At 37.6% G+C, this 21,424-nt stretch overlaps 1 protein-coding gene across 4 annotated transcripts in view; it reads right to left on the reverse strand.

Annotated features, from left to right (window-relative positions):
- Positions 1 to 21,056, reverse strand: part of HYDIN (HYDIN axonemal central pair apparatus protein) — a 428,639-nt gene extending 407,583 nt beyond the window's left edge. For 2 of the 4 annotated variants that reach the window (NM_001270974.2, NM_017558.5), the window contains exon 1: positions 20,896 to 21,056. Coding sequence is in view for 2 of the 4 variants with exons in the window: in NM_001198542.1 (NP_001185471.1) it covers positions 20,964 to 21,021 (58 nt within the window). In the remaining 2 variants the exon portion in view is untranslated. The remainder of the gene's footprint in view (positions 1 to 20,895) is intronic. The other 2 variants (NM_001198543.1, NM_001198542.1) reach the window with 2 other exon arrangements.

Raw genomic sequence — 21,424 nt, forward strand, 5'->3', positions numbered from 1 at the left:
TGATAAGCAACTTCAGCAAAGTTTTGGGATACTAAATCAATTTACAAAAATCAGTAGCATTCATATACACTAACGGCATCCAAGCCAAGATCCAAATCAGGAATGCAATCCCATTAACAATTACCACAAAAACAAAAAAATACCTAGGAGCACAGCTAACCAGGGAGGTGAAAATCTCTACAATGAAAATGACAAAACACTGTTCAAAGAAATCAGAGACAACACAAACAAATGGAAGGATATTACATGCTCATGGGTAGAAAGAAGAAATATCATTAAAGGGGCCATACTGCCCAAAGCAATTTATAGATTCAGTGCTATTCCTATCATACTAGCGGTAATTAATACATTCTTCATGGAACTAGAAAAAACTAATGCTTATATACTTCTGGTGGGAGAGTAAATTAGCTCAACCATTCTAGAAATCAGTGTGGCAATTCCTCAAAGAACTGAAAAGAGAACTACCATTCAACCTAGCAATCCCACTACTGAGTATGGTCCCAAAGGAATACAAATCATTCTACCATAAAGACACATGCACACGTATGTTCACTGCAGCACTAATCACAATAGCAAAGACATGGATCAACCTAAATGCTCATCAATGGTAGACTCAATAAAGAAAATGTGGTATATATAGACCATGGAATACCATGCAGCCATAAAAAAGAATGAGATCATGTCCTTTGCAGGAACATGGATGGAACGTTAGACCATTATGCTCAGCAAACTAACACAGGAACAGAAAACCAGATACCGTCTGTTCTCACTTATAAGAGCTAAATAACAAGAACACATGGACAGAAAGAGGGGAACAACAGACATTGTGCCTACTTGAGGGAGGAGGGTGGGAGGAGTGAGAGGTTCAGAAAAAAAAAAGCTTTCAGGTACTATGCTTAGAACCAGGGTGATGAAATAATCTGTACATTCAACCCCCAAATCACGAGTTTCTTATATAACAAGCCACACATGTACCCCTGAACCTAAAATAAAAGTTAAGATATTTAAAAAAACAAATTGTCTATGAATGCCAGGTATGTCAGCATGTCATTAATTTCTATCTATAATTAGACTAAAATTTCACTCATTTAGATGAAATGAAAAATCTTTATTAGTAAAACCTTTGTTACTTGGCCCTACAGAATAATAAATGCAACTGTATTGATTTCAAAAAAAATTTCTTAGTTTATTGTTAGTAGTCATATTATTATAATTTTTTACAAATTTATGTATATTATATGATAAAGCAAATAATATGTTGTCAGTTAGCACCAAGGTATAATCTGTAAAAGAGATAAATATAAAATAAAACAATTTAATAAAAATCATATAACATGACATAAGAAATATTACACACACACACAGAGAGATAGAAGTCAATGATCAGAGCCTGCAAAAGATGGGAAGTATGAGGAACCTTCTCTACCTTAGACTGGGACCCAAAATTAAAGCTGGCCACTCCATTACCATCTCTAGCAAGTCATAAAACCTGTCCTGGTGCTGAGCAGAAAAAGAGAATAAAAAGAAAGAGGAAAAATACCCAAAAAGTTGAGGTAAATTCTGACTCAAATTTGCAGCCCAGGTCCACATCACTTAAACTGTCCAGAGAACTTCAAGCCATGAGCTAGGCTTGGGGTATTCCCAGACTAAAAGATGCTGAGGTACCTGGTAAATATAAATCTCCCCTGGAGGGACCGGGTACAGTGACTCACACCTGTAATCCCAGCACTTTGGGAGGCCAAGGCGGGCGGATCACGAGGTCAGGAGATCGAGACCATCCTGGCTAACAAGGTGAAACCCCGTCTCTACTAAAAATACAAAAAAAATTAGCCGGGCGTGGTGAGGGGCACCTGTAGTCCCAGCTACTGGGGAGGCTGAGGCAGGAGAATGGCTTGAACCCGGGAGGCGGAGTTTGCAGTGAGCCAAGATTGCGCCACTGCACTCCAGCCTGGGCGACAGAGTGAGACTCCATCTCAAAAAAAAAAAAAAAAAAATCTCCCCTGGAGGAAGGCACCATCATTCAAGACCACAAAGAATAAGAATACCTACAGATAATATTTCAAGGACAGTGAGGAACACATAGTAAGAAATAAACAAAAACACAAGAAAGTAAGACACCATGAGCAAAAATTTGCAGAAACTAAAGATAGCAGAAATACCATGAAAGGCTTCACATAGGGGAATTATTAGATACAGATTACAAAAAAACCATGATTAATATGTTTGAAGTACTAACATACAAGCTTGATGATATCTTCAAGGCACGGGAATCTAAGAAAAAATGATACAGCAATTCTGTAAAACAACTGGAGTCTTCAAAAACGTCAATGTGCTGAAAAACAAAAATCAACAACAATCAAAAAAAGTCGAAGGGCAACTGTTCTACACCAAAAAAGACTGTAAAAATTCAACAACTTAATGCAGCATATGATCTTTGACTGGATCCTTGAAAAATTGTTAAAAACACTATAGTGGACATTATTGAAAAATCAGAAAAATATGAATATGGATTGTAAATTAGATAATACTGTTTCCATTTTAAATTTGTAGGCTGTGATAACAGTATTGTGGTTATGCAAGAGAATGTTCTTGGTCTTAGGAGATACCAGCTAATGTATATAAGGGATAAGTGTCATGATATCTCCCTTACCTAAGTCATAAACTTACTTTCAAATGATTCAAGAAAGAGAAAGAGAACCACGAGCAAATGTGGCAGAATGTTAACAAGGAATGACTCTAATTAAAGGGTATATGGGTTTTCATTGTACTATTATTTCAAGTTTTCTTTAGGTATGAAATCGTTTAAACAAAATGTTATAGGGGTAAGTTGTATAGAAGATTTGAAAAGGATTCAAATATAACATCCAGCAATAAAAGATAAAATAATGGAATTTAGATATTCCATGTAAGTAAATAGTATATTTTAAATGGCTGAAGAGAAAAATTACTAAAGTAGAAAATAGATCAGAAGGATTATGCAGGACAGTACATGGAGGGACAAAAAGACAAAAAAAGTAAACAAGTTAAGAAACATGGAGAACAAAGATCTGATATCACTGAAGGCTTGAGTGAAGTAAGAGAAGAGAGATAATGAGTCAGAGGCAACATCTAACAAATAACAACTGATAATTTACCGAAGTGTTGAGAACAACCAAAATGAAGATTCAAGAAGCTCAAAAAGTCTCAAACTAGATAAATGGGGGAAAAAGTCGTATCTAGACTCATCCTAGTGAGGGTGAAGAAAACCAAAAATAAGGAGAAAATTACTAAAGGAGCCAGTAAAAAAATAATCTCCAAATGAGACATGGTTAGATTGGGAGCTAACTTCTCAATAGATTGGAAGCCAGAAGACAGTAGGATGATGCATTCAAATGTAGTGAAAGGAAAAACTGTCATCTTTTAATTCTAAAACCAGGAAAAATATGTCCCAAGAATAAGGGCAAATAAAAGACAATTTAAGACAAACAAACCTGGGGAATTCACCTTGGCAGACTCTCAATAAAGAAAAATCTAAAGGATGCAATTCAGGCAAAACGAAAGTGATCCCAAATGGAAAAATCTAAGAGGCAAGAAGAAATGGCGGGGGAAACATGGTCAACAGTGAAGTGATTTAAAATGAACATGAGTGCTGTCATGAATTTAAAAAATAATAATAGCGTTTATAATATTAACAGTAAAAATAGGCTTTAAATAGATTTTAACGTAAACAATATCAACATTTAAGTCAGGAGGTGGGTACACGGAGTTAAAGAGTTCTGAGATCTCTCTAATGTCCAGGAGAAATAGGACAGTTTTTATTAACTTAGTTAAGTATACATACATGTTGGATTCTTAAGGAAGTACTAAATTAATAGAATGAGAGTGACAATGCCCAAACTAGAAGAGGGAAAAACTGAATAGTAAAAAGAATACTAATCCAGCAATAACATATTGAAATATGTTGAATTTTAACCAAGAATGTAAAGTTATATTAACATTAGCAAAACAATGTAGTTCAACATTCAACAAAAATTATATATAGCCTCAACAGATGCAGAAAAAGAATATGATAAAATTCAAAGCCATTTATGATTTTTAAAAGTTATTAGCAAATTAAAAATAGAAGTAACTTCCCCAAACTAATAATGCATATCTACAATGTATAAAAATCTACAGCAGGCATAATGCTTAATCAATAAACATTGAAAAATTTTACTTGATATCAAGAACAAGATCCTTATCTATTAATACCCATTATCACCATTCCAATCAACAGAAATTTAAGGTCCTATCTAATGCTGGAAGACAAAAAAGACTCAAGGAAAGGACAAAACAAAACTCAAATTGTTAGCAGATAATATGAATATATAACATTTTTAGAAAATCCAAAAAGCTGACATAAATTATTAGAATCAATAGGTTTAGCAATATTGCTAAATATAAAATAAATATATCCTAAAATTGCATTTCTATATACTCAAAAAAGTTTTTAAAAAATCAACCTAACAGTTAATTACAATACCATAAAAAGTTCAAATTCCTAGGGCTATACCACAGATGAAATGATAATACATTATTAAGATTCAAGATGACCTAAGTAATAAAGAGATATACCACACTCATTGGTTAGAAAATTCAGTATTGTAAAAGATATTTTTCCAGATCAAACTGGAAATGGAACTTCAAATAAATCAAAACTTGAAAAAATTTAGTCCTCAAAAAAACAGAATTTTAGATGAGACTTGACATGCTGAGTCTAAGATTTTTATGAGAATGAAAAGGGCCAAGAATAACAAAGATTATATTGAAGAAGAACAAATTAAATTATTGGAGGATTTTTGTACCCAACCTCACATCCTTTAGGCCCACCAATAGCTTCCCACAGTGTAAGTTGGAAGCACCCTCTCAGCTGCACTGCATTATTTCACTTTTTCTGTCCTTGGTTTATCTGACAGGAACCTCCTAGTGCTCACACATATGCAGCCTGGAAGTGTGAAGGACATATTCCTTGACCAGTGGGAGACAGACAGAAATTAGTGCGTAAAAGCTACATTCTTCTATTCTTTGGGCAGACAATTTTGAGGTACATCCTATAAGGCTCTTCAGAGGGTCCCAGTGGGACAAAACCTCAGTTGTCCATGTTGATAGCCAACTTAAGAACACAGCCTTAAACTGCTTTTATTTCCTTCCCTGCCTCATTCTTTCAGTCCCTCACTCCTCCCCCGCAATCACTTAGCAAAAATAAACTACCAACACTCAAGTCCTAGACTCAGGCTCTGTCTCCTTGGCAGAGATCCAGGATAAGATAATGGAGAGATCTGCTCTATCAGACATCAACACTTATTATAAAGCCAAGTCTGGGGCAGGAAATAGACAAGATGAGCCTGAAACACCTGGTCATGCCTGAAAGCAAGGAAACTATCACAGACTGTACAATCAATTCATCAATCAAATAACATAGAGGCCAACTTGCAGGGTTCTCCCATTGGCCAAAGACAGGATAAAACTAATTAGTCACCTTTAGAGGTCACTAGAGTACCAATTCACTATTCTGAAGAAGCAAGGAAAGAAGGGAGGAAGGGAGAAAGGGAGAAATGGAGAAAGGAGGAAGAAAGGGAGGAAGGAGGGGGAAGGAAGGAGGGAGGGAAAGAGGAAGGGAGGAGAATTCATGCCTTTCTTGTATAAAATGTATTTCATGGTAGCAAAATAGTAAATGAGAAAAAGTTCTTTAAAGAAAAATTCTAGCTGATGAATGAATGTACAAGAAATATGATAGCACTATTTGAAAATCATCACACTGCCACTCCTACTGAAAGGATGTAAGCTCTTATGCTAAAACTTTGGGGTGAAATCTTGATGGGGAACATTATAATCAATCAATCTGGCTGATAACACGTAAATCCTGTAATCAATCTTAATGCCATTAAAAAAAAAAATACTAGCCAGGTGTGGTGGCTCATGCCTGTGATCCCAGCACTTTGGGAGGCCAAGGCAAGAGGATCACTTGAGCCCAGGAGTTTGAAACACCATATAAAAAATAAAAGGACAAGTCTCAAAATGGGAAAAGGTACTTGTGACACATAACCAACAAAACTACTGTACCAGAATATTTAAAGAACTCCTACAAAACAATATTAAAAAAAAAAACAGACAATCCAATAGGGGAAAAAAGCAAAAGAACAGGCTGTTTACACTAGAGAATATCTAAATGGCTAATAAATATATGAAACATGCCCAAACTAATAAAAAAACAGGGAAATGTAATTAAAACCACAAGATGCCCCTACACATGTACTAGATAGGCAAAATCTGAGTCTGATAATTCTGAATATTGGCTCCTCTGTGTTGTAATGGGAAATGCCAAGCACTTGCTGGTCGGGCTGTAACTACGTAAAACAACTTCAGAAAACATATTCCATCATCTAGTAAACTTAAAGATACGTATGTTCTATGACCCAGCAGTTTTACCCTGGTAGACAGTCCAGAGAAATGTATGCACATGCTACAGAGATATGAGTAAGACTGTTCATAGCAGTGTTATTCATAATAGTGGAATATTGGAAACAACCCAAGTTTTTATTGATAGCATATAGAAAAAATTGCCATATTCCTATAATATAATATCACAAATCAATAAAGATGATCTAAACAGAGACCAACAATATGGATGAATTTTACATCAAGTTGAGGGCAGAAAAGCAACATGAAACATGAATACATACAGTGTGATTCAATTTATATAAAGTACAGACAAAGGAAAAACTGAACTACGTTTCTAGGAATGTATACAAAATGGCAAAACTATATTAGAACCCAAGAATGACTGTAAAGGTCAGGATAGCAGTTACCTCTGAGGTGGGGAAGAGGAGGGCTATGATGGAGAAGGATTCCAGGATACCCACATCCTAATCCTTGCCCAGGTGGTGGTTACACATCTGTTCCCTTTATTTGTTAAATGGTAACAATGTGTTTCATACATTTACGTGTATGTTCTATTCCACAACTAAAATTCTAAGGAGAGTTCATTTTGAAAATTAAATATTTCTTAAAATTTGGAAAGCATCTTTGAAATTCTGCAACCCAGTTTTTCCCAGGGTAGCATCAACTGAGGATCACCTAGTCCTACCCTAGAGATTCTGATTCAGTCAATCTATAGTCGGTCCTGGACATCGGTATTTTCAAATAGGTCGCCTAAGTTTGGGAAGTGCTTAGCCAAGTCCAGACTCCATGGGTGGTTAAGGCATTTGCCCTGTGCTTCCCAACCCCACCACAAGGCTCTCTCCACTGTATCAGTGAGGACTAGACATCCCTTGCCTTTGGGCTCAACTCTTGTCCTACAAAAGAGTTTTACAGCCAGCAGGCTCACAGGTTTGGCACAGGAACTGATAGCAGTAGGTACCTTTTGGACAGGTTCCTGTAAGTCTCCAGTTAAATGATGCTTTCTATCCAGCAAACTTGCATTGACTGTTAATTTAACCTACATAAAATTTAAGGTTCTCCTTTCCAGTATTCTGCTGTTCTTCTCTCAAATAGTCCATCCAATAGATCATAAGAATAATGTACAACTATTGGCAAAAATGATTTTGAACTGACTTATGCACACATTTACCCCCATTTTAAGTCTCGATGATGCCCCAAGTTGTCGTTCAGACAAGTTCATGAATACAGGTACCTCTACATTGATGGACCTTTCTCCAGAATGAGGAGCCAAAATCATCTGAATTAAGTAGAGATCTCATTTGTCCCTGACTCATGATAATGTCTGTGCTACAGTCCTGCATTAATTACTTTGCCCAAGTAGAAATACACTACCCATATAAGAATTTCACTTCTGAACAAAACAAAATAAAAATCCACGAGTGGTGACCTCAAAATGAACTGGTTAAATTTAAGGACTCATTTTTAAAGGTCAATGTCCTTTTGCTGCAAATACAGTTCCTATGCAGATGAGAAGTTGAACCTGACCTATGGAGCCGAGCATAATTAGCCAGCTGCACCCTCATAATAAGGTGCAGATGGTTAATTGCACCAGCAAATAACTGCTTACTTGTGGGCACAAAAGCCTGTACCTAAAATCATTGAAAGTATACTTGGGACTATTTATGCTCATGGCAAACAAAACACATTTCCAAGGTTTCATCTGCGAACAGATCACAGCCAGCTCCAAATCCCTGCTTTGCGGGAGAGCCATTCACGCTGCTGAGGTCTGGTCCAAGAGAGGGACCACTGGCCACAAAGCCACATATTAACTGGTGAAATATTTCTTGGGGTGCTGAATCGTTGTTGAAAAATCTCCTGAATTTGTTGTAATAGGGATGAGGGGATCAGTCAATAAGGTGAGACTTTGGTTTCCCTAGAACGCAAAGTAAATTCTGTATTCTTTTGATTACAAACTCTGAAATGATTTTTTCATAAACAAACATCTCATCATTAGTTTTCTGAATAAGAAAAAAAAAGACCAATTTTCCTGTGCCCTTGAGGAATTTCATGCACTAGCCAAGCTCCTAGAATTTAGCAAGCTGTATTAGATTCAACACACCCAGTGGTTGTTAGCGACTGTTCCAAAGATCCACTCTAAAACATATTCTATTAATCCCAATGTGGTAAGAATAAGATATGGGGAGAAAACAGAGAAGGGATAACTACTCCATAAAACCCATGTTTGGAAGTCCTCAGCCAGCTGCAAAGCTTTCAGCTGGGCAAGAGGTCAAGATGACAGGGCTGGGGAGCAGAATACTAATCTACTGGAATCCACACAGAACCTTTCTTCTGAAGAACCCACTGGGTTACGTGATTCTATTCAGTTTAATTGTATACTGGGGAGGAGGAAAAGCTATTTGCCATGGTTTTAATTGCTAAGAACACACTATCTTTTTCAGAACCATCTGTTTAATTGTAATTACAAACAGCGATGTAAAAACGCAAATGATTAACAAGTACAAAATTCCCTACCACTAACAGTTTTAACATAACAAGCCATATTGTGAAAGAGTATGTTGCCTTTTCCCTCCCTGCAATATTTCATGATTTGGCAACTGACAACCCACCATTTTTTACAGAATCTCATTCTGGTAGAGCTAAAGGTATTAATTAGTATTCTTAGAGTACATCCTCCTGTTATTGCTTTTTATTAAATCGTAATTCCCTCTAGCAGCAAAAGGATTATATCAGAAATGAAATGCATAAGGCCCCTTTGTTTCCATCTCCCACCAAAATCTTTGAGGTTTCATATGATATCATCTATAATTAATTACCAGGCATATTCCAAAGCATTGCAAGACTACTTTTGGCTTCATAAACACAAATTTCTGCTTTCCTGGTTTTGAAATATGCTTCCCACACTGTCATTATTTTAAAAGCCATGAGTACTGGTAATTGTTTTCAGACATCAATAAAAATAGCTTAACCTTGAAATTTATTTTAATTAGGGATTTTTTCAAAGCCACTGCTGCAAATTTGGGTGGATTGTTTATAATAAAAATGAGCATCAACAACATAGTTGTACAGAACATAGAATTAGGCAAAGTTGTTTAACTTAGGCTCATAATAGCAGTTTAAAGAAATAAAAACAGACACAGATACAGTCAGATCATAATGTTATTAGAGCAACTTTACATTCAGGACATTTTAGATAGCTTATTAAAGCAAGAAGATGCCATTTTAAAAAAAAAATAAGGGGCAGATTTATGCATTGCCAGTGAAATTACAAGAGATTGCTTTTTCTAGTCATTTCACACTAATTTTTCTTTAAAGTCAACCAAGTTGACTTTTTGGTATTAAGAGGAAGACCACCACTTTAAGAATATAGGATTTAGTATAGGATTTGGTATTCATATTAAGATGAATATCACCCCTTTAAGAATATAGGATCTAACATAGGATATGCTGGTTTATTTGAACCAATACTTTCTAACAAGCCTTTCTATCAAGCACAGAACAATTTTTAAAAGTCCACTTTTCCTCCATACCACCTCAAGGGATAAATATGACCCTTTAAAAAAATCAGATAACTAAAACACTTTGAATCCAAATAAATTAAAAGATTGCACAGTTTTTCAAATTAAATTGCATTAGAGGCATTTTATGATATGTCAATTTTCCTCACCTGAAACCCTTCCAGCAATAATCCTACAATTATTTTTGCCTTATTCCAAGCCCCCATCCCTCTCAAACGACATTTTGTATGAAGAGCAGCCAAATGCTAAGTGCTTCTGCAGTGTTAATGAGGAAACAGATCTTGGAAGAAATTATTTGAAAGAAAAAGTTTGCCCTCAGGAATGAGTTGTCGTTTCACTTTTAATGATGGTAACTGTGGTTCAGCGTATTTCGGTCCATTGCGTTCTGAAATGTACTCATCCCAAACCAGTGCTCTTTAACCTTTGTGGTCCAGGTCCTACTGGAAATCTGATGATGGCTATGAACACTATCCCCCAGAAGATTAACATAAACATAAAATCTGAGGGCTGACACATCCAGGGTCAAAAATCTGTTACACAGATCCCGAATGTGTACCAATTAAAACATGGTTTCAATACTAACAGGCTATGAGTTTCTTTCAAACCTGATGAGCGTTTTCATGTTCTAAATGTTTCTGCTGCTAAAGTGAAGAAACATTCTCAAAACTATTCTTAAAGCCTGTGAAACTATATAACTACTAAGGGGTAATAACTTCCTTCTACTTTGTGATTGCATAAATCATTCTCACACACAAGCCAGAAGTATTCCTTCCCCCAAATAACTCTAATTTGGCCTTGTATACAAGACATAAAATGAAATACCAACTTACAAGTATCATTTTCTAAGAGCTTCTGACATGCATTCATTGTCACATCTTTAGATATAATATAGAATAAAATACACACTTCACATAAAAAGAAAATATTTAAGTCACTAGTCTGCATGTATATATTCTTCAGCTGGCATTTGCTAAACCTGAATTTTTCCATCTTTGTCACACATGTATACAGCGAATACATCCAGGTTTCACGAAAGATTTACTCTGATGCTCTCAATAAATGATTCAATACAAAAATTATTAAGAATAGTTACCTCTGGGGAACCAGACTAGGAGAGAGAGTGGAGTAATGAGAAGCCTTTCATGTTTACATTTCTAAGGTATTTAATTTTTTACAAGGAGTATGTAAATGACTGTGCTAAAAATTAAGACTACAAAGTAATACATTGTTTTCTAATATAGGTTATGCTGGTTTGTTTGAACCAACTCTCCTGCTGAAAACAACTAAAAATGCTGGCTAAAATATTTTTTCAGCTTCTCAAAAGCATCAAAAAGCTAACAAGACCATAAGGAATTATCTAGCCAACATCTAACTGAAAACAGGGACCAAGAAAGGTAAGTGGAGCACTGAAACAAATTTGGTAGGAGATAATCCTCCAGACAAGGACACCCTGAGCTCTGCTTGTGGCTGCCTGGTAGGGCTTCCAGGAAAGGTCAACACCCAGGACCCATCAAAGGTGGGGAGACTGATAGTTGACTCCACTCCAAAGGTGTACACTTTCAACGTTTGGGTCAAAAATAAAGCCTTCCTATCCCACCATTCCCAGCTGAATGCAGGGGACGATTCCTTGGCACCTAACAGAGAGAAAGGTATAAAGAAAAAAAAAAAAACCCTGAAAGGTTAGAATCACAGCCAACTCTCTTAGAGATGTACAGCCCAAATTCATATCACCTGTGAGCTCCAAAAGCCTCAAAGTATGATTTTTACTTTAAAATAAGCCTGGACAGGTAGTTCCCTGAGGTACCTAACAGAGGCAAATGCAAACCCTCTCTGATGAACCTCCTTCTCTGAGGACCTCTCTGAGGTCCTCCTTCATTTTAGTCATCAAACACTTCCCATAAATAATTTTCCAAGGACAATAAGCAGCTCTTGGTCAAAATAAACAAGCATACTAAGAGAGTGGGAAAAGCACCCTGAACAAGAACCAGCAAAAACATCCTGTAGGAAAAGAAATTCAAGAAATGAAAATTAAAATAATAAAAATTAAAACTCAATGAATAGAATATCTAATTCTAAGAAGAATGTATTTGATAGCATCTACTTCAACAATTAGAAAATAAAATAGATAAATTACAAAAAGCATATACTTTAAGACATTAGAGAGGTATAGAAGAAATATAGTGTTAAATCAAGTTTAGCCTAAAGCTGCCTCCTTACATATTTTAAGTTTGGCCTAAAGGTTTCTCTGTACATTGTGAACTATAACCTAAATGAAGCTGTAAACAGACCATAGCCTACTCTTGTGCCAATCACTGAGTTTTGGCCAAAGGTGGCCAACTTTTCAAACCGTGTTCAAATAAGGCAAGCAATGAGCTGTAACTAATCTGGCTATTTTTGTACCTCATTTCTATTTTCTGTACATCACTTTCTTTTTTCAATCCACAAATCATCTTCTACCACATGGCTCCACTGGAGTCTTTCTGAGCCTACTCTGGCTCAAGAGGCTGCCCACAGCACACCAAAAGGATAACACATCATGATCAAGTGGGTTTCATCCCAGGAATGCAGGGATGGTTTAATATACACAAGTCAATAAATGTGATATATCACATAAACAAAATTAAAAACAAAAACCATAGATTATCTCAGTAGATGAAGAAAAAGCATTTGAAAAAATCCAGCACCCCTTTATGGTAAAAACCCTCAACAAAATAAGCATAGAAGGGACTTACCTCAAAATAATAAAAGCCATATACGACAAACCCACAGCCAACATCATACTGAATGCAGAAAAGTTGAAAGCCTTCCCTGTGAGAACTAGAACAAGACAAGGATGCCCACTTTCACCACTTTTATTTGACATAATACTGGAAGTCCTAGCCAGAGCAACCAGCAAGAGAAAAAAATAAAGGGCATCCAAATTGGAAAAGAAGTCAAACTGTCACTGTTTGCCAGTTATATGATTATATACCTAGGAAACCCTAAAGACTCATCCAAAAGGCTCCTAGATCTGATGAACGAATTCAGTAAAGTCTGAGGTTACAAAATTAATGTACACAAATCAGTAGCACTGCTCTACACCAACAACAACCATGCTGAGAATCAAATCAAGAGCTCAATCTCTTTTACAACAGCTGCAAAAAAATAAAATAAAATAAAATACATATGAATATACTTAACCAAGTAGGGGAAAGACCTCTACGCGGAAAACTAAAAAGCACTGCTGAAATAAATAATAGATGACACAAACAAATGGATACACATCCTATGCTCACGAATGGGAAGAATCAACATTGTGAAAATGACCATACTACCCAAAGCGATTCCCATCAAAATACCAACATCATTCTTCACAGAACTACAACAAACAATTCTAAAATTCACATGGAACCAAAAAAGAGCTCACAAAGCTAAAGCAATACTAAGCAAAAAGAACAAATCTAGAGGCATCACATTACAATACTTCAAATTATACTACAAGGTTATAGTTACCAAAACAGCATGGTACTGGTATAAAAATGGGCACATAGACCAATAGAACAGAACAGAGTACCCAAAAATAAAGCCAAATAATTACAGCCAACTGATATTTGACAAAGCATATAAAGACATAAATTGGAGAAAGGACACCCTATGCAATAATGGTGCTGGGAAAACTGGCAAGCCACATGTAGAAGAATGAAACTGGGTCCCCATTTCTTACCTTATAAAAAACATTAACTCCCAATGGATCAAAGACTTAAATCTAAGACATGAAACCATAAAAATCCTAGAAGATAACATTGGAAAAACTCTTCTTCTGGCATTGGCTTAGGCAGAAATTCAGGACTAAGACCCTAAACGCAAATGTGACAAAAACAAAAACAAATAAATGGGTCCTAATTAAACTAAAAAGCTTCTGCAAAGCAAAAGAAATAATAAGAAGAGTAAACAGACAACCCACAGGGTGGGAGAAAGTATTTGCAAGCTATGCATCCAACAAAGGACTAGCATCCGGAATCTACAAGGAGCTCAAACAAATCAGCAAGAAAAAAAAAAAAACAAATAATCCCTTCAAAAAGTGAGCTAAAACATGAAGAGACATTTCTCAAAAGAAAATATACAAACAGCCAACAAATATGAAAAAATGCTCATCAGTAGTTGTCAGGGAAATGCAAATTAAAACCACAATGAGATACCACCTTACTCTTGCAAGAATGGCCATAATTAAAAAGTCAAAAAACAATAGATGTTGGTTGGGATGTGGTGAAAAGGGAATACTTCTACACTATTGGTGGGAATGCAAATTAGTACAACCACTAAAAGTAGATCTACCATTTCATCCAGCAATCCCACTACTGGGTATCTACCCAAAGGAAAAGAAGTCATTATATGAAAAAGACACATTCACATGCATGTTTACAGCAACACAATTTGCAATTGCAAAGATATGGAACCAACCTAAGTGCCCATTGATCAACAAGTGGATAAAGAAAATGTAAAATGTGTATACCATGGAATACTACTCAACCATAAGGAGTGACAAAATAATGTCTTTTGCAGCAACTTGGATGCAGCTGGAGGCCATTATTCTAAGTGAAGTAACCCAGGAGTGAAAAACCAAATACCATACGTTCTCCCTTATAAGTGGGAGCTAAGCTATGAGATGCAAAGACATACAGAGTGATGAAATTTGGGAACTCATTTGGGGAAGTCAGAAGTAGGGTAAGGGATAAAAGACTACATATTGGGCATAGTGTACACTGCTCAGGTGACAGGTACACTGAAATCTCAGAATTCACCACTAAAGAACTCATCCATGTAACGAAAAACCACTTGTACCTCAAAAATGATTGAAATATAAAATTATTTAAAAAGAGGCTGCTCAATTTGCAAATTGTTCTTTGCTCTGAAATGATTGATGAATCATTCTTTAATTAAATTAAACTCTGTTAAATTTAATTTGGCTAAGGTTTTTCTTTTTTTTTTTTTTTTTTTTGAGACGGAGTCTCGCTCTGTCGCCCAGGCTGGAGTGCAGTGGCGGGATCTCGGCTCACTGCAAGCTCCGCCTCCCGGGTTCACGCCATTCTCCTGCCTCAGCCTCCCAAGTAGCTGGGACTACAGGCGCCCGCCACTACGCCCGGCTAATTTTTTGTATTTTTAGTAGAGACGGGGTTTCACCGTTTTAGCCGGGATGGTCTCGATCTCCTGACCTCGTGATCCGCCCGCCTCGGCCTCCCAAAGTGCTGGGATTACAGGCGTGAGCCACCGCGCCCGGCCTAAGGTTTTTCTTTTAACAATGGACTAGAAGAACTAAAATTTCAGAAGGGAAATGGCCTCTCATCAATGAGTTGAAGTTACTGGTCATGTTTTTCTCTGGGGACATTTGCTAATTCTAGGCACAGGGAGACAATCCAGCTTGGCTCAGGCAGAGGATTCTTAAGGTAAGAGGAGGCACCAACAGAATAGGTGATGGTTGTAAAATCTGGCAAGACGAACAGGAACCTAAAAAGCGAGGGCCAGATTCCCCTATGGGTGATTTTCTGAGAAGTGGAACAGCATGAGAGCTCTGAAGTTGAATGAGAAAGAGTGTAGGGTTCTCCGTTCCCCACTACTTTCTTTCTGTGTCCTGACTGCTCTGTGATCTATCCAGTTGCAGGTTTTTCGTAGCAGACTTGAACCCAAACCTGGGCCTGGAACATTCCTAGGCACTGATAAAGGTATCTAGGTTGCTGCCCACAACACTGAAAAAGAAACTAGCCCTGGCCCTGAGCCAAATTCCTTAAACTCTCATACCCTGACCCCCTCACTGCAGTCATACCTAGGTAGAACACCTGTTTTCTCTTACTGTTCATTTTGAGGACTGCTGCAGCACTCTGTAAGTTTCCCCAATAAATGCTTTGGATTGACCACTCTGGCATTTAGTCTTTCCTTCTTTTTTTGGAATCCCAACCGGCCCTATCTCTGGACAGTTTGGGGCACTCCCTTGTGGGGAATCTCCTGCCATCATTTTGGGGGTGATTCTGGCCATAGGTATTGTGGGATGAAACACAGAGTGAAATCTGCTAAAGTCTCTTGGTGCTTAGAACTTGAGGTTCAGAAAGAAGGAGGAGGGGCTTGCAACAAACACAACACAGTTCTCCCCACCAAGACATTTGAATGAGGTTTAACATTTGATTGGGTATGAAACAAGGAATGAACAACTGGAAACTGAAAATTTTAAAACAGTATCATATACAATAGCATCAAAAAACAGAAAATAAAAACAGAGCTAACAAAACATGTGCAAAAGTTGCATGTTAAAAATTATAAAACATCATTGAGAGAAATTAAAGAGGACTAAATCAAAGGAGGTATACCATGTTCATAAATTGGAAGATTCAGTATTGCTAAGATGCCAATTCTCCCCAAATTAATCTATACTCCAATGAAATCTAATCAAAATGCCAGCAGATATTTTTGGAGATGTTAACCTTTAATTCTAAAGTTTGTATGGAAAGGTAAAGGAACCAATGTTGCCAATTCAATTTTGAAAAATAAGAACAAAGTAGAAGGACTCAAACTACCAGATTTCAAAATTCACTGTAAAGTTATCAAGAAATCGATTTTATGCTGTTAAAATGACTGGTAGTTCATTTGAGAAACAAAAATTATTCATATTTTTCTGGAATATTCTGTTACATTGATAAATCAGAAACATGTATTCACACATACATGGTCAACTGATTTTTGACAAAGGTGCCAAGGTAAGTGGAGGGAGGAGAGTCTCTTTAACAAATGGGGTTGGAACATTCAGCCTTATGAAAAAAAAACACCTCAACTCTTGCCTGACGTCATACATAAAAATTAACTCAAAACTCATCAAAGACCTACATGTGAAACCCAAAGCTATGAAAGTCTGAGAAAGAAACATTGAGGAAAATCTTGTTACCTTGTGTTAGGCCAAAGGTTTTTAGATATCACACAAAACATAAAAGAAAAAATTAGTAAGATTAGACTTCATCAAAACTTTTGACTTCAAAGACATTATGAAGAAAATTGAAACCAGCCCAATTTCCTCACAGAACTGATGTTTATGGTCTTTTTAAATAAACAGAAATTGGCCCTCTTGGTCTTAAGCCTGAAACTTATATTTATCTTATCTGAGTTCCTTTCTTAGAAAACTGACGCTCGGGCCTCCCAGAGAGTATAAAGGAACTGAAACTCACCAGATCACCGCATCCAGACAGTGAGAGACCAGATTCCTCTTCCTTACTCCTCCCTAATTCCTGTTTTCTACATTCTTTCCCTGGTATTTAAATCTCCAATTTTAGTCAGTTAGTGAGACAATTTGAGACTATCTCCCATCTCCACAGCTGCAGCACCCAAATAAAGCCTTCTTCCCTGGCAGTACTCTTTGTTCCAGTGATTGGCTTTCTGTGCTGTAAACAATGAGATCTAGATCAAACCCCTGGCATTTCAGTAACAAAATGTTTTAAAAAGGAAAGATGTGTCACATACTGGGAGAAATTATTCGCAAATTAAATATCTGACTTTTGTCATATATATATGTATATATATATGTGTATGTGTGTGTGTGTGTGTATATATATATATATGAATGATATGGGCAAAAGATACAAACAGAAACTTCACCAAGTTCACCAAACTTCTTCACCAAAGATATAATAACAAGTAAGCATGTTATTCAACATCATTAATCACCAGGAAATGCAAATTAAAAGCAGAATGAGATACCACTACACAGCTATAAGAATAAAGTGTATTCAACTAGAAAAAGAGGAAGTCAAATTGTCCCTGTTTGCAGATGACATGATTGTATATCTAGGAAACCCCATCTTCTCAGGCCAAAATCTCCTTAAGCTGATAAGCAACTTCAGCAAAATCTCAGGATACAAAATCAATGTGCAAAAATCACAAGCATTCTTATACACCAATAACAGACAAACAGAGAGCCAAATCATGAGTGAACTCCCATTCACAATTGCTTCAAAGAGAATAAAATACCTAGGAATCCACCTTACAAGGGATGTGAAGGAACTCTTCAAGGAGAAGTACAAACCACTGCTCAACGAAATAAAAGAGGACACAAATGGAAGAACATTCCATGCTCATGGATAGGAATAATCAATATCGTGAAAATGGCCATACTGCCCAAGGTAATTTATAGATTCAGTGCCATCCCCATCAAGCTACCAATGACTTTATTCACAGAATTGGAAAAAACTACTTTAAAGTTCATATGGAACCAAAAAAGAGCCTGCATTGCCAAGACAATCCTAAGCCAAAAGAACAAAGCCAGAGGCATCACGCTACCTGACTTCAAACTATACTACAAGGCTACAGTAACCAAAACAGCATGGCACTGGTACCAAAACAGAGATATAGACCAATGGAACAGAACGGAGCCCTCAGAAATAATACCACACATCTACAACCATCTCATCTTTGACAAACCTGACAAAAACAAGAAATGGGGAAAGGATTCCCTATTTAATAAATGGTGCTAGGAAAACTGGCTAGCCATATGTAGAAAGCTGAAACTGGATCCCTTCCTTACACCTTATACAAAAATTAATTCAAGATGGATTAAAGACTTACATGTTAGACCTAAAACCATAAAAACCCTAGAAGAAAACCTAGGCAATACCATTCAGGACATAGGCATGGGCAAGGACTTCATGTCTAAAACACCAAAAGCAATGGCAACAAAAGCCAGAATTGACAAATGGGATCTAATTAAACTAAAGAGCTTCTGCACAGCAAAAGAAACTACCATCAGAGTGAACAGGCAACCTACAGAATGGGAGAAAATTTTTGCAATCTACTCATCTCACAAAGGGCTAATATCCAGAATCTACAAAGAACTCAATCAAATTTACAAGAAAAAAACAAACCCATCAAAAAGTGGGCAAAGGATATGAACAGACACTTCTCAAAAGAAGACATTTATGCAGCCAACAGACACATGAAAAAATGCTCATCATCACTGGCCATCAGAGAAATGCAAATCAAAACCACAATAAGATACCATCTCACACCAGTTAGAATGGCGATTAAAAAGTCAGGAAAACAACAGGTGCTGGAGAGGACGTGGAGAAATAGGAACACTTTTACACTGTTGGTGGGACTGTAAACTAGTTCAACCATTGTGGAAGACAGTGTGGCAATTCCCCAAGGATCTAGAATTAGAAATACCATTTGATCCAGCCATCCCATTACTGGGTATATGCCCAAAGGATTATAAATCATGCTGCTATAAAGACACATGCACACATATGTTTATTGCGGCACTATTCACAATAGCAAAGACTTGGAACCAACCCAAATGTCCATCAACGATAGACTGAGTTAAGAAAATGTGGCACATATATACCATGGAATACTATGCAGCCATAAAAAAGGATGAGTTCATGTCCTTTGTAGGGACATGGATGAAGCTGGAAACCATCATTCTCAGCAAACTATCACAAGGACAAAAAACCAAACACCGCATGTTCTCACTCATAGGTGGGCAACGAACAATGAGAACACTTGGACACAGGAAGGGGAACATCACACACCGGGGCCTGTTGTGGGGTGGGGGGAGGGGGGAGGGATAGCATTTGGAGATATACCTAATGTAAATGACTAGTTAATGGGTGCAGCACACCAATATGGCACATGTATACATATGTAACAAACCTGCACGTTGTGCACATATACCCTAGAACTTAAAGGAGAATAAAAATATATACATATAAAAAAAAGATCACCTGCTAACAAGGTTGCAATTTGGCAGTTTCTTGTAAAATTAATACTTACCATATAACCTATCAATCCTACTCCCAGGTATTTATCAAAATAATAACATATGTCCATACAAATACCTGTATGGGAATATTTATAACAGTTTTACTTATTAATAATTACCAAATACTGGAAGCAATCCTAATGTCCATCAGCTGATGGTACATCCATTCAATAGAATAGTACGCAGCAATGAAAAGAAATGAGCTACTGTTACATACAACAACATGGTTAAATCTCAAAAGCAATATGCTAAGTATAACAAGCCAGACAAAAAGTGCTATGTATGTTATAATTTCATTTATGTGACATTCTGGATAATGCAGAATCAGAAAACAGATCATTTCATTAGTTGCTATGGGCTGGAAGTGGGGAAGGGGCATTGACTACAATGAGGTACAAGAGATACTTTCTGAGCTAATGGAATCATTCTACATACTTATTGCAGTAAGTACATGATATGGTTTGGCTGTGTCCCCACCCAAATATCATCTTGAATTATAACTCCCATAATCCCCACGTGTCATGGGAGGGACCCCATGGTGGGTAACTTAATCATGGGGGTGGGTTTTCCTGGGTTGTTCTCATGATAGTGACTGAGTCTGACGAGATTTGATGGTTTTATAAAGGGGAGGTTCCCCTGCACATGCTCTCTTGCCTGCCGCCATATAAGACACGACTTTGCTCCTCCTTTGCCTTCCACCATGATTGTGAGGCCTCCCCAGCCAAGTGGAACTGTGAGTCAATTAAACCTCTTTTCTTTGTAATTAGCCTCAGATATGTCTTTATTAGCAGAATGATAACAGATTAATACAGTACAGAACTTTATATTTTCAAAACTCTTGGAACTGTACACCTAAAAGAGGTGAATTTTACCATTTTCCCCGGTAAGACGGGAAATGATTCGTCCAAGGCCTGGGGCTAATTCCAAGTTGGAAGCGAGGCAGCACCTCAGGCCTTCTGCCCTTCAGGCTACCTGTCTGGCAGGGGAATCCCAAGAACAAAAATCCGAGGTCCCGTAACTTTCATGGGAGTGAGAAGTGGCTAGGGAAGGCTGAGGAGGGGAGGGGTCTGGAAAGTCTGGAGAACGCCTGGGACGCAGGGCGAGGACGAGGACGAAAAGAGGGGACGCCCCGGTTAGCCCCCATGTCCCTCACACTTTGACCCCACAATCTCTGCGAGGACCTCTGACCTTGGTGCACTCCGGGTCCCACGTTTATTCTACCTCCATTCCCCGCCAAGACCCCGCGTCCAACTCACAGACCCCGCCGCCGCTGAGGGGCTCCATACCCAGCTTGAAGCCGCCCGCACTCTCCATGCGCCGCCCGAGCTGTTGCCGTCCGTTGCCACGGTAACCACGGAGCCGCACAGCCTAGCAAGCCGCGCGATGATTGGAGGAGGCAAGCGTCAATAGCAACCACCGCCCCAGCTGCTAGGTGCAAAAGAATTTGGTTTCCAAGGATTCTTCGGACACCACCTCTCCCCAAAGCCACACTTCGCCAGGCCTAGTTCTTTAAAGATGCTTCGTGCATTATCTCATTGAACACCTGCCTCCTGCCTCCCAGTGTTGCTGTGGAAATCTCTTATCTCTACAGGAATTTTTAACCTGTGGTCCTTTGACCTCTTCAGGAGGTCCACGAACCCCCTTAAGTTATAAGCAAAAGTTTGTGGCCATTTACCCGGTCAGATGGTCCATAGCTGTAGATTCTCAAAGGAGCTGG

The sequence above is a fragment of the Homo sapiens genome, chromosome 16 (assembly GCF_000001405.40).
Source record: "Homo sapiens chromosome 16, GRCh38.p14 Primary Assembly".
Taxonomy (NCBI): domain Eukaryota; kingdom Metazoa; phylum Chordata; class Mammalia; order Primates; family Hominidae; genus Homo; species Homo sapiens.